General features: G+C 42.8%; 1 annotated feature.

Moving 5' to 3' along the window:
* Positions 15,275–15,776: an enhancer, noted in NCBI's record as "NANOG hESC enhancer chr1:121448709-121449210 (GRCh37/hg19 assembly coordinates)". NCBI's record gives its function as "activates a minimal SCP1, AML or CMV promoter by ChIP-STARR-seq in primed H9 embryonic stem cells {active_cell/tissue: H9 hESC(primed)}" and the evidence as "EXISTENCE:reporter gene assay evidence [ECO:0000049][PMID:30033119]".

Here is a 21,971-nt window from a genome sequence, read left to right on the forward strand (position 1 = left end):
CTTGCAGATTCTGCAGGAGGAGTGTTTCAAACCTGAAATGTCAGAGAAAGGTTCAACACTGTGAGTTGAATGCAAGCATCACGAAGAAGGTTCTGAGAATGCTTCTGTTTGTGTAGGTGACTTCTCTCCCGTATCCAACGAAATCCTCAGAGCGGTCCAAATCTCCACTTGCAGATTCTACACAAAGTGTGTTTGGAAACTGCTCCATCCAAAGGAATGTTCAGCTCTGTGAGTTGAACTCAAGCATCACAATGTGTTTCCTGGGAATGCTCCTGTCTCGTTTTTATGTGCAGTTATATCCTCTACTGCCATAGGCTTCAAAACGGTACAAATCTCCCCTTTCAGATTCTACCAAAAGTGTGTTTCCAAACGGCTCCATCAAAGGGAATGTTCAACTCGGTGACTTGAATGCAATCATCACAAAGCAGCTTCTGAGAATGCTTCCATGTAGGTTTGATGAGAAGATATTTCCTTTTCCTCCCCAGGCCTCGAAGCCCTCCAAATGTCCCCTTGCAGATGCTAGAAAGAGGGGGTTTCAAAGTAGCTCTATCAAAAGGAAAGTACAGCTCTGTGAGTTGAATACAAACGTCACAAGGAAGTTCCTGAGCATGGTTCCGTTTAGCTTTTACGGGAAGATTATTCCATTTCCATCGAAATGTTCAAAGAGGTCCGCATATCCGCTTGCAGATTCCACCGAAAGAGTGTTTCCAAACTGCTGCATCAAAAGGAATCCTCAGCTCCGTGAGTTGAATGCAATCATCACCAAGAAGTTTCTGACAATGCTTCTCTCTAGTTTTTATGTGAAGATATTTCCTTTTCCACCACAGGCCTGAAAGCACTCCAAATGTCCACTTGGAGGCTCTACGAAAAGAATGTTTCAAAACTGCTCTATGAAAAGCAATGTTATACTCTGGGAGTTGAACACAAGCCTCACAAAGGAGTTTCTGAGAATGCTTCTGTTTACTTCTTACGTGAGGATATTCCCGTTTCCAAAGAAGTCTTCACAGAGTTCCACCTATCCATTTGCAGATGCTAGCAAAAGAGAGTTTCAAAACTGCTCTATCAAAAGGAACGTTCAACTCTGTGAGTTGCATGCAATCATCACAGAGAAGTTTCTGAGAAGGCTTCTGTCTAGATTTTATGTGAAGATATAGCCGTTTCGAACGAAGGCCACAAAGTGCTCCAAATATCCACTTGCAGGTCCTCCAAAAAGAGTGTTTCAAACGTGAACTACCAAAGGAAGGCTCAACTCTGGACTTTGAATGCCAACGTCAGAAGGATGTTTCTGCGAAAGCTTCTGTTTAGTTAGGTGACGTTATCCCGTTTCCAACGAAATCCTTAGAGAGTTCCAAATATCCACCTGCAGAGTCTACAAAAAGTATGTTTCAAAACTGCTCCACCCAAAGGAATGTTCAGCTCTGTGAGTTGAACTCAATCATCCCAAAGTAGTTTCTGAGAATGCTTCTGTCCAGTTTTTACATGAAGCTGTTTCCTTTACTACCGTAGGCCTCAAAGCGTTCCAAATCTCCACTTGCAGATAGTACGAAAAAAGCCTTTCAACCTGAACTCACAAGGGAAGGTTCAACTCTGTCAGTTGAATGCCAACATCACCAAGAAGTTCTGAGAATGTTCCTCTTCAGTTATGTGAGGTTTATCCCGTTTCCAACGAAATTCTCAGAGAAGTCCCAAAATCCACTTGCATATTCTACAAAAGGCGTATTTTGAAAATGCGCCATCAAAAGATAGGCTCAGCTCTGTGAGTTAAACTCAATCATCGCAAAGAATTTTCTGAGAATGCTTCTGTCTTGTTTTTAGATGAAGTTCTTTCCTTTACTACGATAGGCCTCAAAGAGGTCCAAATCTCTACTTGCAGATTCTGCAGAAGGAGTGTTTCAAACCTGAACTGTCAGAGAAAGGTTCAACACTGTGAGTTGAATGCAAGCATCACGAAGAAGGTTCTGAGAATGCTTCTGTTTACGTAGGTGAGTACTCTCCCGTATCCAACGAAATCCTCAGAGGGGTCCAAATCTCCTCTTGCAGATTCTACACAAAGTGTGTTTGGAAACTGCTCCATCCAAAGGAATGTTCAGCTCTGTGAGTTGCACTCAATAGTCACAAAGTGTTTCCTGGGAATGCTCCTGTCTCGTTTTTATGTGCAGTTATATCCTCTACTGTCATGTGCCTCAGAGCGGTCCAAATCTCCCCTTTCAGATTCTAACAAAAGTGTGTTTCCAAACGGCTTCATCAAGGGGAATGTTCAACTCGGTGACTTGAATGCAATCATCACAAAGCAGCTTCTGAGAATGTTCCATGTAGCTTTGATGAGAAGATATTTCCTTTTCCTCCCCAGGCCTCGAAGCCCTCCAAATGTCCCCGTGCAGATGCTAGAAAGAGAGGGTTTCAAAGCTGCTCAATGAAAAGGAAAATACAACTCTGTGAGTTGAATGCAAACATCACAAAAAGTTCCTGAGCATGCTGCCGTTTAGCTATTACGGGAAGATTATCCCTTTTCCAACGAAATGTTCAAAGAGGTCCACATATCCGCTTGCAGATTCCACAGAAAGAGTGGTTCCAAACTGCTGCATCAAAAGGAATCCTCACCTCCGTGAGTTGAATGCAATCATCACCAAGAAGTTTCTGACAATGCTTCTCTCTAGTTTTTATGTGAAGATATTTCCTTTTCCACCACAGGCCTGAAAGCACTCCAAATGTCCACTTGGAGGCTCTACGAAAAGAATGTTTCAAAACTGCTCTATGAAAAGCAATATTATACTCTGCGAGTTGAACACAAGCCTCACAAAGGAGTTTCTGAGAATGCTTCTGTTTACTTTTTACGTGAGGATATTCCCGTTTCCAAAGAAGTCTTCACAGAGTTCCACCTACCCATTTGCAGATGCTAGCAAAAGAGAGTTTCAAAACTGCTCTATCAAAAGGAATGTTCAACTCTGTGAGTTGCATGCAATCATCACAGAGAAGTTTCTGAGAAGGCTTCTGTCTAGATTTTATGTGAAGATATAGCCGTTTCGAACGAAGGCCACAAAGTGCTCCAAATATCCACTTGCAGGTCCTCCAAAAAGAGTGTTTCAAACGTGAACTACCAAAGGAAGGCTCAACTCTGGACTTTGAATGCCAACGTCAGAAAGATGTTTCTGCGAAAGCTTCTGTTTAGTTAGGTGACGTTATCCCGCTTCCAACGAAATCCTCAGAGAGGTCCAAATATCCACCTGCAGAGTCTCCAAAAGTGTGTTTCAAAACTGCTCCACCCAAAGGAATGTTCAGCTCTGTGAGTTGAACTCAATCATCCCAAAGTATTTTCTGAGAATGCTTCTGTCCAGTTTTTACATGAAGCTGTTTCGTTTACTACCATAGGCCTCAAAGCATTCCAAATCTCCACTTGAAGATAGTACGAAAAGAGCGTTTCAACCTGAACTCACAAGGGAAGGTTCAACTCTGTCAGTTGAATGCCAACATCACAAAGAAGTTCTGAGAATGTTCCTCTTCAGTTAAGTGAGGTTTATCCCGTTTCCAACGAAATTCTCAGAGAAGTCCCAAAATCCACTTGCCTATTCTACAAAAGGTGTGCTTTGAAAATGCGCCATCAAAAGATATGCTCAGCTCTGTGAGTTAAACTCAATCATCGCAAAGAATTTTCTGAGAATGCTTCTGTCTTCTTTTTAGATGAAGTTCTTTCCTTTACTACGACAGGCCTCAAAGAGGTCCAAATCTCCACTTGCAGATTCTGCAGAAGGAGTGTTTCAAACCTGAACTGTCAGAGAAAGGTTCAACACTGTGAGTTGAATGCAAGCATCACGAAGAAGGTTCTGAGAATGCTTCTGTTTACGTAGGTGAGTTCTCTCCCGTATCCAACGAAATCCTCAGAGCGGTCCGAATCTCCACTTGCAGATTCTACACAAAGTGTGTTTGCAAACTGCTCCATCCAAAGGAATGTTCAGCTCTGTGAGTTGATCTCCATCGTCACAAAGTGTTTCCTGGGAATGCCACTGTCTCGTTTTTATGTGCAGTTATGTCCTCTACTGCCATAGGCCTCAAAGCGGTCCAAATCTCCCCTTTCAGATTCTACCAAAAGTGTGTTTCCAAACGGCTCCATCAAAGGGAATGTTCAACTCGGTGACTTGAATGCAATCATCACAAAGCAGCTTCTGAGAATGCTTCCATGTAGCTTTGATGAGAAGATATTTCCTTTTCCACCCCAGGCCTCGAAGCCCTCCAAATGTCCCCTTGCAGATGCTAGAAAGAGAGGGTTTCAAAGCTGCTCTATCAAAAGGAAAGTACAACTCTGCGAGTTGAATGCAAACATCACAAAGAAGTTCCTGAGCATGCTTCCGTTTAGCTTTTATGGGAAGATTATCCCTTTTCCATCGGAATGTTCAAAGAGGTCCACGTATCCGCTTGCAGATTCCACCGAAAGAGTGTTTCCAAACTGCTGCATCAAAAGGAATCCTCAGCTCCGTGAGTTGAATGCAATCATCACCAAGAAGTTTCTGACAATGCTTCTCTCTAGTTTTTATGTGAAGATATTTCCTTATCCACCACAGGCCTGAAAGGGCTCCAAATGTCCACTTGGAGGCTCTACGAAAAGAATGTTTCAAAACTGCTCCATGAAAAGCAATGTTATACTGTGGGAGTTGAACACAAGCCTCACAAAGGAGTTTCTGAGAATGCTTCTGTTTACTTTTTACGTGAGGATATTCCTATTTCCAAAGAAGTCTTCACAGAGTTCCACCTATCCATTTGCAGATGCTAGCAAAAGAGAGTTTCAAAACTGCTCTATCAAAAGGAATGTTCAACTCTGTGAGTTGCATGCAATCATCTCAGAGAAGTTTCTGAGAAGGCTTCTGTCTAGATTTTATGTGAAGATATAGCCGTTTCGAACGAAGGCCACAAAGTGCTCCAAATATCCACTTGCAGGTCCTCCAAAAAGAGTGTTTCAAACGTGAACTACCAAAGGAAGGCTCAACTCTGGACTTTGAATGCCAACGTCAGAAGGATGTTTCTGCGAAAGCTTCTGTTTAGTTAGGCGACGTTATCCCGTTTCCAACGAAATCCTCAGAGAGGTCCAAATATCCACCTGCAGAGTCTACAAAAAGTGTGTTTCAAAACTGCTCCACCCAAAGGAATGTTCAGCTCTGTGAGTTGAACTCAATCATCCCAAAGTATTTTCTGAGAATGCTTCTGTCCAGTTTTTACATGAAGCTCTTTCCTTTACTACCGTAGGCCTCAAAGCGTTCCAAATCTCCACTTGCAGATGCTACGAAAGGAGCGTTTCAACCTGAACTCACAAGGGAAGGTTCACCTCTGTCAGTTGAATGTCAACATCACAAAGAATTTCTGAGAATGTTCCTCTTCAGTTATGTGAGGTTTATCCCGTTTCCAACGAAATTCTCAGAGAAGTCCCAATATCCACTTGCATATTCTACAAAACGTGTGTTTTGAAAATGCTCCATCAAAAGACCTGCTCAGCTCTGTGAGTTAAACTCAATCATCGCAAAGAATTTTCTGAGAATGCTTCTGTCTTGTTTTTAGATGAAGTTCTTTCCTTTACTACGACAGGCCTCAAAGAGGTCCAAATCTCCACTTGCAGATTCTGCAGAAGGAGTGTTTCAAACCTGAACCGTCAGAGGAAGGTTCAACACTGTGAGTTGAATGCAAGCATCACGAAGAAGGTTCTGAGAATGCTTCTGTTTACGCAGGTGAGTTCTCTCCCGTATCCAACGAAATCCTCAGAGCGGTCCGAATCTCCACTTGCAGATTCTACACAAAGTGTGTTTGGAAACTGCTCCATCCAAAGGAATGTTCAGCTCTGTGAGTTGATCTCCATCGTCACAAAGTGTTTCCTGGGAATGCCACTGTCTCGTTTTTATGTGCAGTTATGTCCTCTACTGCCATAGGCCTCAAAGCGGTCCAAATATCCCCTTTCAGATTCTACCAAAAGTGTGTTTCCAAACGGCTCCATCAAAGGGAATGTTCAACTCGGTGACTTGAATGCAATCATCACAAAGCAGCTTCTGAGAATGCTTCCATGTAGCTTTGATGAGAAGATATTTCCTTTTCCACCCCAGGCCTCGAAGCCCTCCAAATGTCCCCTTGCAGATGCTAGAAAGAGAGGGTTTCAAAGCTGCTCTATCAAAAGGAAAGTACAACTCTGCGAGTTGAATGCAAACATCACAAAGAAGTTCCTGAGCATGCTTCCGTTTAGCTTTTATGGGAAGATTATCCCTTTTCCATCGGAATGTTCAAAGAGGTCCACGTATCCGCTTGCAGATTCCACCGAAAGAGTGTTTCCAAACTGCTGCATCAAAAGGAATCCTCAGCTCCGTGAGTTGAATGCAATCATCACCAAGAAGTTTCTGACAATGCTTCTCTCTAGTTTTTATGTGAAGATATTTCCTTATCCACCACAGGCCTGAAAGGGCTCCAAATGTCCACTTGGAGGCTCTACGAAAAGAATGTTTCAAAACTGCTCCATGAAAAGCAATGTTATACTGTGGGAGTTGAACACAAGCCTCACAAAGGAGTTTCTGAGAATGCTTCTGTTTACTTTTTACGTGAGGATATTCCTATTTCCAAAGAAGTCTTCACAGAGTTCCACCTATCCATTTGCAGATGCTAGCAAAAGAGAGTTTCAAAACTGCTCTATCAAAAGGAATGTTCAACTCTGTGAGTTGCATGCAATCATCTCAGAGAAGTTTCTGAGAAGGCTTCTGTCTAGATTTTATGTGAAGATATAGCCGTTTCGAACGAAGGCCACAAAGTGCTCCAAATATCCACTTGCAGGTCCTCCAAAAAGAGTGTTTCAAACGTGAACTACCAAAGGAAGGCTCAACTCTGGACTTTGAAGGCCAACGTCAGAAGGATGTTTCTGCGAAAGCTTCTGTTTAGTTAGGCGACGTTATCCCGTTTCCAACGAAATCCTCAGAGAGGTCCAAATATCCACCTGCAGAGTCTACAAAAAGTGTGTTTCAAAACTGCTCCACCCAAAGGAATGTTCAGCTCTGTGAGTTGAACTCAATCATCCCAAAGTATTTTCTGAGAATGCTTCTGTCCAGTTTTTACATGAAGCTGTTTCCTTTACTACCGTAGGCCTCAAAGCGTTCCAAATCTCCACTTGCAGATGCTACGAAAGGAGCGTTTCAACCTGAACTCACAAGGGAAGGTTCACCTCTGTCAGTTGAATGTCAACATCACAAAGAATTTCTGAGAATGTTCCTCTTCAGTTATGTGAGGTTTATCCCGTTTCCAACGAAATTCTCAGAGAAGTCCCAATATCCACTTGCATATTCTACAAAACGTGTGTTTTGAAAATGCTCCATCAAAAGACCTGCTCAGCTCTGTGAGTTAAACTCAATCATCGCAAAGAATTTTCTGAGAATGCTTCTGTCTTGTTTTTAGATGAAGTTCTTTCCTTTACTACGACAGGCCTCAAAGAGGTCCAAATCTCCACTTGCAGATTCTGCAGAAGGAGTGTTTCAAACCTGAACCGTCAGAGGAAGGTTCAACACTGTGAGTTGAATGCAAGCATCACGAAGAAGGTTCTGAGAATGCTTCTGTTTACGTAGGTGAGTTCTCTCCCGTATCCAACGAAATCCTCAGAGCGGTCCGAATCTCCACTTGCAGATTCTACACAAAGTGTGTTTGGAAACTGCTCCATCCAAAGGAATGTTCAGCTCCGTGAGTTGAACTCAATCGTCACAAAGTGTTTCCTGGGAATGCTACTGTCTCGTTTTTATGTGCAGTTTTATCCTCTACTGCCACAGGCCTCAAAGCGGTCCAAATCTCCCCTTTCAGATTCTACCAAAAGTGTGTTTCCAAAAGGCTCCATCAAAGGGAATGTTCAGCTCGGTGACTTGAAAGCTATCATCACAAAGCAGCTTCTGAGAATGCTTCCATGTATCTTTGATGAGAAGACATTTCCTTTTCCACCCCAGGCCTCGAAGCCCTCCAAATGTCCCCTTGCAGATGCTAGAAAGAGAGGGTTTCAAAGCTGCTCTATCAAAAGGAAAGTACAACTCTGCGAGTTGAATGCAAACATCACAAAGAAGTTCCTGAGCATGCTTCCGTTTAGCTTTTATGGGAAGATTATCCCTTTTCCATCGGAATGTTCAAAGAGGTCCACGTATCCGCTTGCAGATTCCACCGAAAGAGTGTTTCCAAACTGCTGCATCAAAAGGAATCCTCAGCTCCGTGAGTTGAATGCAATCATCACCAAGAAGTTTCTGACAATGCTTCTCTCTAGTTGTTATGTGAAGATATTTCCTTATCCACCACAGGCCTGAAAGGGCTCCAAATGTCCACTTGGAGGCTCTACGAAAAGAATGTTTCAAAACTGCTCCATGAAAAGCAATGTTATACTCTGGGAGTTGAACACAAGCCTCACAAAGGAGTTTCTGAGAATGCTTCTGTTTACTTTTTACGTGAGGATATTCCCATTTCCAAAGAAGTCTTCACAGAGTTCCACCTATCCATTTGCAGATGCTAGCAAAAGAGAGTTTCAAAACTGCTCTATCAAAAGGAATGTTCAACTCTGTGAGTTGCATGCAATCATCACAGAGAAGTTTCTGAGAAGGCTTCTGTCTAGATTTTATGTGAAGATATAGCCGTTTCGAACGAAGGCCACAAAGTGCTCCAAATATCCACTTGCAGGTCCTCCAAAAAGAGTGTTTCAAACGTGAACTACCAAAGGAAGGCTCAACTCTGGACTTTGAATGCCAACGTCAGAAGGATGTTTCTGCGAAAGCTTCTGTTTAGTTAGGCGACGTTATCCCGTTTCCAACGAAATCCTCAGAGAGGTCCAAATATCCACCTGCAGAGTCTACAAAAAGTGTGTTTCAAAACTGCTCCACCCAAAGGAATGTTCAGCTCTGTGAGTTGAACTCAATCATCCCAAAGTATTTTCTGAGAATGCTTCTGTCCAGTTTTTACATGAAGCTGTTTCCTTTACTACCGTAGGCCTCAAAGCGTTCCAAATCTCCACTTGCATACGCTACGAAAGGAGTGTTTCAACCTGAACTCACAAGGGAAGGTTCACCTCTGTCAGTTGAATGTCAACATCACAAAGAATTTCTGAGAATGTTCCTCTTCAGTTATGTGAGGTTTATCCCGTTTCCAACGAAATTCTCAGAGAAGTCCCAATATCCACTTGCATATTCTACAAAACGTGTGTTTTGAAAATGCTCCATCAAAAGACCTGCTCAGCTCTGTGAGTTAAACTCAATCATCGCAAAGAATTTTCTGAGAATGCTTCTGTCTTGTTTTTAGATGAAGTTCTTTCCTTTACTACGACAGGCCTCAAAGAGGTCCAAATCTCCACTTGCAGATTCTGCAGAAGGAGTGTTTCAAACCTGAACCGTCAGAGGAAGGTTCAACACTGTGAGTTGAATGCAAGCATCACGAAGAAGGTTCTGAGAATGCTTCTGTTTACGTAGGTGAGTTCTCTCCCGTATCCAACGAAATCCTCAGAGCGGTCCGAATCTCCACTTGCAGATTCTACACAAAGTGTGTTTGGAAACTGCTCCATCCAAAGGAATGTTCAGCTCCGTGAGTTGAACTCAATCGTCACAAAGTGTTTCCTAGGAATGCTACTGTCTCGTTTTTATGTGCAGTTTTATCCTCTACTGCCACAGGCCTCAAAGGGGTCCAAATATCCCCTTTCAGATTCTACCAAAAGTGTGTTTCCAAAAGGCTCCATCAAAGGGAATGTTCAGCTCGGTGACTTGAAAGCTATCATCACAAAGCAGCTTCTGAGAATGCTTCCATGTATCTTTGATGAGAAGACATTTCCTTTTCCACCCCAGGCCTCGAAGCCCTCCAAATGTCCCCTTGCAGATGCTAGAAAGAGAGGGTTTCAAAGCTGCTCTATCAAAAGGATAGTACAACTCTGCGAGTTGAATGCAAACATCACAAAGAAGTTCCTGAGCATGCTTCCGTTTAGCTTTTATGGGAAGATTATCCCTTTTCCATCGGAATGTTCAAAGAGGTCCACGTATCCGCTTGCAGATTCCACCGAAAGAGTGTTTCCAAACTGCTGCATCCAAAGGAATCCTCAGCTCCGTGAGTTGAATGCAATCATCACCAAGAAGTTTCTGACAATGCTTCTCTCTAGTTGTTATGTGAAGATATTTCCTTATCCACCACAGGCCTGAAAGGGCTCCAAATGTCCACTTGGAGGCTCTACGAAAAGAATGTTTCAAAACTGCTCCATGAAAAGCAATGTTATACTCTGGGAGTTGAACACAAGCCTCACAAAGGAGTTTCTGAGAATGCTTCTGTTTACTTTTTACGTGAGGATATTCCCATTTCCAAAGAAGTCTTCACAGAGTTCCACCTATCCATTTGCAGATGCTAGCAAAAGAGAGTTTCAAAACTGCTCTATCAAAAGGAATGTTCAACTCTGTGAGTTGCATGCAATCATCACAGAGAAGTTTCTGAGAAGGCTTCTGTCTAGATTTTATGTGAAGATATAGCCGTTTCGAACGAAGGCCACAAAGTGCTCCAAATATCCACTTGCAGGTCCTCCAAAAAGAGTGTTTCAAACGTGAACTACCAAAGGAAGGCTCAACTCTGGACTTTGAATGCCAACGTCAGAAGGATGTTTCTGCGAAAGCTTCTGTTTAGTTAGGCGACGTTATCCCGTTTCCAACGAAATCCTCAGAGAGGTCCAAATATCCACCTGCAGAGTCTACAAAAAGTGTGTTTCAAAACTGCTCCACCCAAAGGAATGTTCAGCTCTGTGAGTTGAACTCAATCATCCCAAAGTATTTTCTGAGAATGCTTCTGTCCAGTTTTTACATGAAGCTGTTTCCTTTACTACCGTAGGCCTCAAAGCGTTCCAAATCTCCACTTGCAGATGCTACGAAAGGAGCGTTTCAACCTGAACTCACAAGGGAAGGTTCACCTCTGTCAGTTGAATGTCAACATCACAAAGAAGTTCTGAGAATGTTCCTCTTCAGTTATGTGAGGTTTATCCCGTTTCCAACGAAATTCTCAGAGAAGTCCCAATATCCACTTGCATATTCTACAAAACGTGTGTTTTGAAAATGCTCCATCAAAAGACCTGCTCAGCTCTGTGAGTTAAACTCAATCATCGCAAAGAATTTTCTGAGAATGCTTCTGTCTTGTTTTTAGATGAAGTTCTTTCCTTTACTACGACAGGCCTCAAAGAGGTCCAAATCTCCACTTGCAGATTCTGCAGAAGGAGTGTTTCAAACCTGAACCGTCAGAGGAAGGTTCAACACTGTGAGTTGAATGCAAGCATCACGAAGAAGGTTCTGAGAATGCTTCTGTTTACGTAGGTGAGTTCTCTCCCGTATCCAACGAAATCCTCAGAGCGGTCCGAATCTCCACTTGCAGATTCTACACAAAGTGTGTTTGGAAACTGCTCCATCCAAAGGAATGTTCAGCTCCGTGAGTTGAACTCAATCGTCACAAAGTGTTTCCTGGGAATGCTACTGTCTCATTTTTATGTGCAGTTATATCCTCTACTGCCATAGGCCTCAAAGCGGTCCAAATCTCCCCTTTCAGATTCTACCAAAAGTGTGTTTCCAAACGGCTCCATCAAAGGCAATGTTCAGCTCGGTGACTTGAAAGCAATCATCACAAAGCAGCTTCTGAGAATGCTTCCATGTATCTTTGATGAGAAGACATTTCCTTTTCCACCCCAGGCCTCGAAGCCCTCCAAATGTCCCCTTGCAGATGCTAGAAAGAGAGGGTTTCAAATCTGCTCTATCAAAAGGAAAGTACAACTCTGCGAGTTGAATGCAAACATCACAAAGAAGTTCCTGAGCATGCTTCCGTTTAGCTTTTATGGGAAGATTATCCCTTTTCCATCGGAATGTTCAAAGAGGTCCACGTATCTGCTTGCAGATTCCACCGAAAGAGTGTTTCCAAACTGCTGCATCAAAAGGAATCCTCAGCTCCGTGAGTTGAATGCAATCATCACCAAGAAGTTTCTGACAATGCTTCTCTCTAGTTTTTATGTGAAGATATTTCCTTATCCACCACAGGCCTGAAAGGGCTCCAAATGTCCACTTGGAGGCTCTACGAAAAGAATGTTTCAAAACTGCTCCATGAAAAGCAATGTTATACTCTGGGAGTTGAACACAAGCCTCACAAAGGAGTTTCTGAGAATGCTTCTGTTTACTTTTTACGTGAGGATATTCCCGTTTCCAAAGAAGTCTTCACAGAGTTCCACCTATCCATTTGCAGATGCTAGCAAAAGAGAGTTTCAAAACTGCTCTATCAAAAGGAATGTTCAACTCTGTGAGTTGCATGCAATCATCACAGAGAAGTTTCTGAGAAGGCTTCTGTCTAGATTTTATGTGAAGATATAGCCGTTTCGAACGAAGGCCACAAAGTGCTCCAAATATCCACTTGCAGGTCCTCCAAAAAGAGTGTTTCAAACGTGAACTACCAAAGGAAGGCTCAACTCTGGACTTTGAATGCCAACGTCAGAAGGATGTTTCTGCGAAAGCTTCTGTTTAGTTAGGCGACGTTATCCCGTTTCCAACGAAATCCTCAGAGAGGTCCAAATATCCACCTGCAGAGTCTACAAAAAGTGTGTTTCAAAACTGCTCCACCCAAAGGAATGTTCAGCTCTGTGAGTTGAACTCAATCATCCCAAAGTATTTTCTGAGAATGCTTCTGTCCAGTTTTTACATGAAGCTGTTTCCTTTACTACCGTAGGCCTCAAAGCGTTCCAAATCTCCACTTGCAGATGCTACGAAAGGAGCGTTTCAACCTGAACTCACAAGGGAAGGTTCACCTCTGTCAGTTGAATGTCAACATCACAAAGAAGTTCTGAGAATGTTCCTCTTCAGTTATGTGAGGTTTATCCCGTTTCCAACGAAATTCTCAGAGAAGTCCCAATATCCACTTGCATATTCTACAAAACGTGTGTTTTGAAAATGCTCCATCAAAAGACCTGCTCAGCTCTGTGAGTTAAACTCAATCATCGCAAAGAATTTTCTGAGAATGCTTCTGTCTTGTTTTTAGATGAAGTTCTTTCCTTTACTACGACAGGCCTCAAAGAGGTCCAAATCTCCACTTGCAGATTCTGCAGAAGGAGTGTTTCAAACCTGAACCGTCAGAGGAAGGTTCAACACTGTGAGTTGAATGCAAGCATCACGAAGAAGGTTCTGAGAATGCTTCTGTTTACGTAGGTGAGTTCTCTCCCGTATCCAACGAAATCCTCAGAGCGGTCCGAATCTCCACTTGCAGATTCTACACAAAGTGTGTTTGGAAACTGCTCCATCCAAAGGAATGTTCAGCTCCGTGAGTTGAACTCAATCGTCACAAAGTGTTTCCTGGGAATGCTACTGTCTCGTTTTTATGTGCAGTTTTATCCTCTACTGCCACAGGCCTCAAAGCGGTCCAAATCTCCCCTTTCAGATTCTACCAAAAGTGTGTTTCCAAAAGGCTCCATCAAAGGGAATGTTCAGCTCGGTGACTTGAAAGCAATCATCACAAAGCAGCTTCTGAGAATGCTTCCATGTAGCTTTGATGAGAAGACATTTCCTTTTCCACCCCAGGCCTCGAAGCCCTCCAAATGTCCCCTTGCAGATGCTAGAAAGAGAGGGTTTCAAAGCTGCTCTCTCAAAAGGAAAGTAAAACTCTGCGAGTTGAATGCAAACATCACAAAGAAGTTCCTGAGCATGCTTCCGTTTAGCTTTTATGGGAAGATTATCCCTTTACCATCGGAATGTTCAAAGAGGTCCACGTATCCGCTTGCAGATTCCACCGAAAGAGTGTTTCCAAACTGCTGCATCCAAAGGAATCCTCAGCTCCGTGAGTTGAATGCAATCATCACCAAGAAGTTTCTGACAATGCTTCTCTCTAGTTTTTATGTGAAGATATTTCCTTATTCACCACAGGCCTGAAAGGGCTCCAAATGTCCACTTGGAGGCTCTACGAAAAGAATGTTTCAAAACTGCTCCATGAAAAGCCATGTTATACTCTGGGAGTTGAACACAAGCCTCACAAAGGAGTTTCTGAGAATGCTTCTGTTTACTTTTTACGTGAGGATATTCCCATTTCCAAAGAAGTCTTCACAGAGTTCCACCTATCCATTTGCAGATGCTAGCAAAAGAGAGTTTCAAAACTGCTCTATCAAAAGGAATGTTCAACTCTGTGAGTTGCATGCAATCATCACAGAGAAGTTTCTGAGAAGGCTTCTGTCTAGATTTTATGTGAAGATATAGCCGTTTCGAACGAAGGCCACAAAGTGCTCCAAATATCCACTTGCAGGTCCTCCAAAAAGAGTGTTTCAAACGTGAACTACCAAAGGAAGGCTCAACTCTGGACTTTGAATGCCAACGTCAGAAGGATGTTTCTGCGAAAGCTTCTGTTTAGTTAGGCGACGTTATCCCGTTTCCAACGAAATACTCAGAGAGGTCCAAATATCCACCTGCAGAGTCTACAAAAAGTGTGTTTCAAAACTGCTCCACCCAAAGGAATGTTCAGCTCTGTGAGTTGAACTCAATCATCCCAAAGTATTTTCTGAGAATGCTTCTGTCCAGTTTTTACATGAAGCTGTTTCCTTTACTACCGTAGGCCTCAAAGCGTTCCAAATCTCCACTTGCAGATGCTACGAAAGGAGCGTTTCAACCTGAACTCACAAGGGAAGGTTCACCTCTGTCAGTTGAATGTCAACATCACAAAGAAGTTCTGAGAATGTTCCTCTTCAGTTATGTGAGGTTTATCCCGTTTCCAACGAAATTCTCAGAGAAGTCCCAATATCCACTTGCATATTCTACAAAACGTGTGTTTTGAAAATGCTCCATCAAAAGACCTGCTCAGCTCTGTGAGTTAAACTCAATCATCGCAAAGAATTTTCTGAGAATGCTTCTGTCTTGTTTTTAGATGAAGTTCTTTCCTTTACTACGACAGGCCTCAAAGAGGTCCAAATCTCCACTTGCAGATTCTGCAGAAGGAGTGTTTCAAACCTGAACCGTCAGAGGAAGGTTCAACACTGTGAGTTGAATGCAAGCATCACGAAGAAGGTTCTGAGAATGCTTCTGTTTACGTAGGTGAGTTCTCTCCCGTATCCAACGAAATCCTCAGAGCGGTCCGAATCTCCACTTGCAGATTCTACACAAAGTGTGTTTGGAAACTGCTCCATCCAAAGGAATGTTCAGCTCCGTGAGTTGAACTCAATCGTCACAAAGTGTTTCCTGGGAATGCTACTGTCTCGTTTTTATGTGCAGTTATAAACTCTCGTGCCATAGGCCTCAAAGCGGTCCAAATCTCCCCTTTCAGATTCTACCAAAAGTGTGTTTCCAAAAGGCTCCATCAAAGGGAATGTTCAGCTCGGTGACTTGAAAGCAATCATCACAAAGCAGCTTCTGAGAATGCTTCCATGTAGCTTTGATGAGAAGACATTTCCTTTTCCACCCCAGGCCTCGAAGCCCTCCAAATGTCCCCTTGCAGATGCTAGAAAGAGAGGGTTTCAAAGCTGCTCTATCAAAAGGAAAGTACAACTCTGCGAGTTGAATGCAAACATCACAAAGAAGTTCCTGAGCATGCTTCCGTTTAGCTTTTATGGTAAGATTATCCTTTTTCCATCAGAATGTTCAAAGAGGTCCACGTATCCGCTTGCAGATTCCACCGAAAGAGTGTTTCCAAACTGATGTATCAAAAGGAATCCTCAGCTCCGTGAGTTGAATGCAATCCTCACCAAGAAGTTTCTGACAATGCTTCTCTCTAGTTTTTATTTGAATATATTTCCTTATCCACCACAGGCCTGAAAGGGCTCCAAATGTCCACTTGGAGGCTCTACGAAAAGAATGTTTCAAAACTGCTCCATGAAAAGCAATGTTATACTCTGGGAGTTGAACACAAGCCTCACAAAGGAGTTTCTGAGAATGCTTCTGTTTACTTTTTACGTGAGGATATTCCCGTTTCTAAAGAAGTCCTCACAGAGTTCCACCTATCCATTTGCAGATGCTAGCAAAAGAGAGTTTCAAAACTGCTCTATCAAAAGGAATGTTCAACTCTGTGAGTTGCATGCAATCATCACAGAGAAGTTTCTGAGAAGGCTTCTGTCTAGATTTTATGTGAAGATATAGCCGTTTCGAACGAAGGCCACAAAGTGCTCCAAATATCCACTTGCAGGTCCTCCAAAAAGAGTGTTTCAAACGTGAACTACCAAAGGAAGGCTTAGCTCTGGACTTTGAATGCCAACCTCAGAAGGATATTTCTGCGAAAGCTTCTGTTTAGTTAGGCGACGTTATCCCGTTTCCAACGAAATCCTCAGAGAGGTCCAAATATCCACCTGCAGAGTCTACAAAAAGTGTGTTTCAAAACTGCTCCACCCAAAGGAATGTTCAGCTCTGTGAGTTGAACTCAATCATCCCAAAGTATTTTCTGAGAATGCTTCTGTCCAGTTTTTACATGAAGCTGTTTCCTTTACTACCGTAGGCCTCATAGCGTTCCAAATCTCCACTTGCAGATGCTACGAAAGGAGCGTTTCAACCTGAACTCACAAGGGAAGGTTCACCTCTGTCAGTTGAATGTCAACATCACAAAGAAGTTCTGAGAATGTTCCTCTTCAGTTACGTGAGGTTTTTCCCGTTTCCAACGAAATTCTCAGAGAAGTCCCAATATCCACTTGCATATCCTACAAAACGTGTGTTTTGAAAATGCTCCATCAAAAGAACTGCTCTGCTCTGTGAGTTAAACTCAATCATCGCAAAGAATTTTCTGAGAATGCTTCTGTCTTGTTTTTAGATGAAGTTCTTTCCTTTACTACGACAGGCCTCAAAGAGGTCCAAATCTCCACTTGCAGATTCTGCAGAAGGAGTGTTTCAAACCTGAACTGTCAGAGAAAGGTTCAACACTGTGAGTTGAATGCAAGCATCACGAAGAAGGTTCTGAGAATGCTTCTGTTTACGTAGGTGAGTTCTCTCCCGTATCCAACGAAATCATCAGAGCGGTCCGAATCTCCACTTGCAGATTCTACACAAAGTGTGTTTGGAAACTGCTCCATCCAAAGGAATGTTCAGCTCCGTGAGTTGAACTCAATCGTCACAAAGTGTTTCCTGGGAATGCTACTGTCTCGTTTTTATGTGCAGTTATAAACTCTAGTGCCATAGGCCTCAAAGCGGTCCAAATCTCCCCTTTCAGATTCTACCAAAAGTGTGTTTCCAAAAGGCACCATCAAAGGGAATGTTCAGCTCGGTGACTTGAAAGCAATCATCACAAAGCAGCTTCTGAGAATGCTTCCATGTATCTTTGATGAGAAGACATTTCCTTTTCCACCCCAGGCCTCGAAGCCCTCCAAATGTCCCCTTGCAGATGCTAGAAAGAGAGGGTTTCAAAGCTGCTCTATCAAAAGGAAAGTACAACTCTGCGAGTTGAATGCAAACATCACAAAGAAGTTCCTGAGCATGCTTCCGTTTAGCTTTTATGGGAAGATTATCCCTTTTCCATCGGAATGTTCAAAGAGGTCCACGTATCCGCTTGCAGATTCCACCGAAAGAGTGTTTCCAAACTGCTGCATCAAAAGGAATCCTCAGCTCCGTGAGTTGAATGCAATCATCACCAAGAAGTTTCTGACAATGCTTCTCTCTAGTTTTTATGTGAAGATATTTCCTTATCCACCACAGGCCTGAAAGGGCTCCAAATGTCCACTTGGAGGCTCTACGAAAAGAATGTTTCAAAACTGCTCCATGAAAAGCAATGTTATACTCTGGGAGTTGAACACAAGCCTCACAAAGGAGTTTCTGAGAATGCTTCTGTTTACTTTTTACGTGAGGATATTCCCGTTTCCAAAGAAGTCTTCACAGAGTTCCACCTATCCATTTGCAGATGCTAGCAAAAGAGAGTTTCAAAACTGCTCTATCAAAAGGAATGTTCAACTCTGTGAGTTGCATGCAATCATCACAGAGAAGTTTCTGAGAAGGCTTCTGTCTAGATTTTATGTGAAGATATAGCCGTTTCGAACGAAGGCCACAAAGTGCTCCAAATATCCACTTGCAGGTCCTCCAAAAAGAGTGTTTCAAACGTGAACTACCAAAGGAAGGCTCAACTCTGGACTTTGAATGCCAACGTCAGAAGGATGTTTCTGCGAAAGCTTCTGTTTAGTTAGGCGACGTTATCCCGTTTCCAACGAAATCCTCAGAGAGGTCCAAATATCCACCTGCAGAGTCTACAAAAAGTGTGTTTCAAAACTGCTCCACCCAAAGGAATGTTCAGCTCTGTGAGTTGAACTCAATCATCCCAAAGTATTTTCTGAGAATGCTTCTGTCCAGTTTTTACATGAAGCTGTTTCCTTTACTACCGTAGGCCTCAAAGCGTTCCAAATCTCCACTTGCAGATGCTACGAAAGGAGCGTTTCAACCTGAACTCACAAGGGAAGGTTCACCTCTGTCAGTTGAATGTCAACATCACAAAGAAGTTCTGAGAATGTTCCTCTTCAGTTATGTGAGGTTTATCCCGTTTCCAACGAAATTCTCAGAGAAGTCCCAATATCCACTTGCATATTCTACAAAACGTGTGATTTGAAAATGCTCCATCAAAAGACCTGCTCAGCTCTGTGAGTTAAACTCAATCATCACAAAGAATTTTCTGAGAATGCTTCTGTCTTGTTTTTAGATGAAGTTCTTTCCTTTACTACGACAGGCCTCAAAGAGGTCCAAATCTCCACTTGCAGATTCTGCAGAAGGAGTGTTTCAAACCTGAACCGTCAGAGAAAGGTTCAACACTGTGAGTTGAATGCAAGCATCACGAAGAAGGTTCTGAGAATGCTTCTGTTTACGTAGGTGAGTTCTCTCCCGTATCCAACGAAATCCTCAGAGCGGTCCGAATCTCCACTTGCAGATTCTACACAAAGTGTGTTTGGAAACTGCTCCATCCAAAGGAATGTTCAGCTCCGTGAGTTGAACTCAATCGTCACAAAGTGTTTCCTGGGAATGCTACTGTCTCGTTTTTATGTGCAGTCATATTCTCTACTGCCATAGGCCTCAAAGCGGTCCAAATCTCCCCTTTCAGATTCTACCAAAAGTGTGTTTCCAAACGGCTCCATCAAAGGCAATGTTCAGCTCGGTGACTTGAAAGCAATCATCACAAAGCAGCTTCTGAGAATGCTTCCATGTATCTTTGATGAGAAGACATTTCCTTTTCCACCCCAGGCCTCGAAGCCCTCCAAATGTCCCCTTGCAGATGCTAGAAAGAGAGGGTTTCAAAGCTGCTCTCTCAAAAGGAAAGTACAACTCTGCGAGTTGAATGCAAACATCACAAAGAAGTTCCTGAGCATGCTTCCGTTTAGCTTTTATGGGAAGATTATCCCTTTTCCATCGGAATGTTCAAAGAGGTCCACGTATCCGCTTGCAGATTCCACCGAAAGAGTGTTTCCAAACTGCTGCATCAAAAGGAATCCTCAGCTCCGTGAGTTGAATGCAATCATCACCAAGAAGTTTCTGACAATGCTTCTCTCTAGTTTTTATGTGAAGATATTTCCTTATCCACCACAGGCCTGAAAGGGCTCCAAATGTCCACTTGGAAGCTCTACGAAAAGAATGTTTCAAAACTGCTCCATGAAAAGCAATGTTATACTCTGGGAGTTGAACACAAGCCTCACAAAGGAGTTTCTGAGAATGCTTCTGTTTACTTTTTACGTGAGGATATTCCCGTTTCCAAAGAAGTCTTCACAGAGTTCCACCTATCCATTTGCAGATGCTAGCAAAAGAGAGTTTCAAAACTGCTCTATCAAAAGGAATGTTCAACTCTGTGAGTTGCATGCAATCATCACAGAGAAGTTTCTGAGAAGGCTTCTGTCTAGATTTTATGTGAAGATATAGCCGTTTTGAACGAAGGCCACAAAGTGCTCCAAATATCCACTTGCAGGTCCTCCAAAAAGAGTGTTTCAAACGTGAACTACCAAAGGAAGGCTCAACTCTGGACTTTGAATGCCAACGTCAGAAGGATGTTTCTGCGAAAGCTTCTGTTTAGTTAGGCGACGTTATCCCGTTTCCAACGAAATCCTCAGAGAGGTCCAAATATCCACCTGCAGAGTCTACAAAAAGTGTGTTTCAAAACTGCTCCACCCAAAGGAATGTTCAGCTCTGTGAGTTGAACTCAATCATCCCAAAGTATTTTCTGAGAATGCTTCTGTCCAGTTTTTACATGAAGCTGTTTCCTTTACTACCGTAGGTCTCAAAGCGTTCCAAATCTCCACTTGCAGATGCTACGAAAGGAGCGTTTCAACCTGAACTCACAAGGGAAGGTTCACCTCTGTCAGTTGAATGTCAACATCACAAAGAAGTTCTGAGAATGTTCCTCTTCAGTTATGTGAGGTTTATCCCGTTTCCAACGAAATTCTCAGAGAAGTCCCAATATCCACTTGCATATTCTACAAAACGTGTGTTTTGAAAATGCTCCATCAAAAGACCTGCTCAGCTCTGTGAGTTAAACTCAATCATCGCAAAGAATTTTCTGAGAATGCTTCTGTCTTGTTTTTAGATGAAGTTCTTTCCTTTACTACGACAGGCCTCAAAGAGGTCCAAATCTCCACTTGCAGATTCTGCAGAAGGAGTGTTTCAAACCTGAACCGTCAGAGGAAGGTTCAACACTGTGAGTTGAATGCAAGCATCACGAAGAAGGTTCTGAGAATGCTTCTGTTTACGTAGGTGAGTTCTCTCCCGTATCCAACGAAATCCTCAAAGCGGTCCGAATCTCCACTTGCAGATTCTACACAAAGTGTGTTTGGAAACTGCTCCATCCAAAGGAATGTTCAGCTCCCTGAGTTGAACTCAATCGTCACAAAGTGTTTCCTGGGAATGCTACTGTCTCGTTTTTATGTGCAGTTTTATCCTCTACTGCCACAGGCCTCAAAGCGGTCCAAATCTCCCCTTTCAGATTCTACCAAAAGTGTGTTTCCAAAAGGCTCCATCAAAGGGAATGTTCAGCTCGGTGACTTGAAAGCAATCATCACAAAGCAGCTTCTGAGAATGCTTCCATGTATCTTTGATGAGAAGACATTTCCTTTTCCACCCCAGGCCTCGAAGCCCTCCAAATGTCCCCTTGCAGATGCTAGAAAGAGAGGGTTTCAAAGCTGCTCTATCAAAAGGAAAGTACAACTCTGCGAGTTGAATGCAAACATCACAAGGAAGTTCCTGAGCATGCTTCCGTTTAGCTTTTACGGGAAGATTATCCCTTTTCCATCGAAATGTTCAAAGAGGTCCACATATCCGCTTGCAGATTCCACCGAAAGAGTGTTTCCAAACTGCTGCATCAAAAGGAATCCTCAGCTCCGTGAGTTGAATGCAATCATCACCAAGAAGTTTCTGACAATGCTTCTCTCTAGTTTTTATGTGAAGATATTTCCTTATCCACCACAGGCCTGAAAGGGCTCCAAATGTCCACTTGGAGGCTCTACGAAAAGAATGTTTCAAAACTGCTCCATGAAAAGCAATGTTATACTCTGGGAGTTGAACACAAGCCTCACAAAGGAGTTTCTGAGAATGCTTCTGTTTACTTTTTACGTGAGGATATTCCCGTTTCCAAAGAAGTCTTCACAGAGTTCCACCTATCCATTTGCAGATGCTAGCAAAAGAGAGTTTCAAAACTGCTCTATCAAAAGGAATGTTCAACTCTGTGAGTTGCATGCAATCATCACAGAGAAGTTTCTGAGAAGGCTTCTGTCTAGATTTTATGTGAAGATATAGCCGTTTCGAACGAAGGCCACAAAGTGCTCCAAATATCCACTTGCAGCTCCTCCAAAAAGAGTGTTTCAAACGTGAACTACCAAAGGAAGGCTCAACTCTGGACTTTGAATGCCAACGTCAGAAGGATGTTTCTGCGAAAGCTTCTGTTTAGTTAGGCGACGTTATCCCGTTTCCAACGAAATCCTCAGAGAGGTCCAAATATCCACCTGCAGAGTCTACAAAAAGTGTGTTTCAAAACTGCTCCACCCAAAGGAATGTTCAGCTCTGTGAGTTGAACTCAATCATCCCAAAGTA

The sequence above is a fragment of the Homo sapiens genome, chromosome 1, assembly GCF_000001405.40.
Source record: "Homo sapiens chromosome 1, GRCh38.p14 Primary Assembly".
Taxonomy (NCBI): Eukaryota; Metazoa; Chordata; class Mammalia; order Primates; family Hominidae; genus Homo; species Homo sapiens.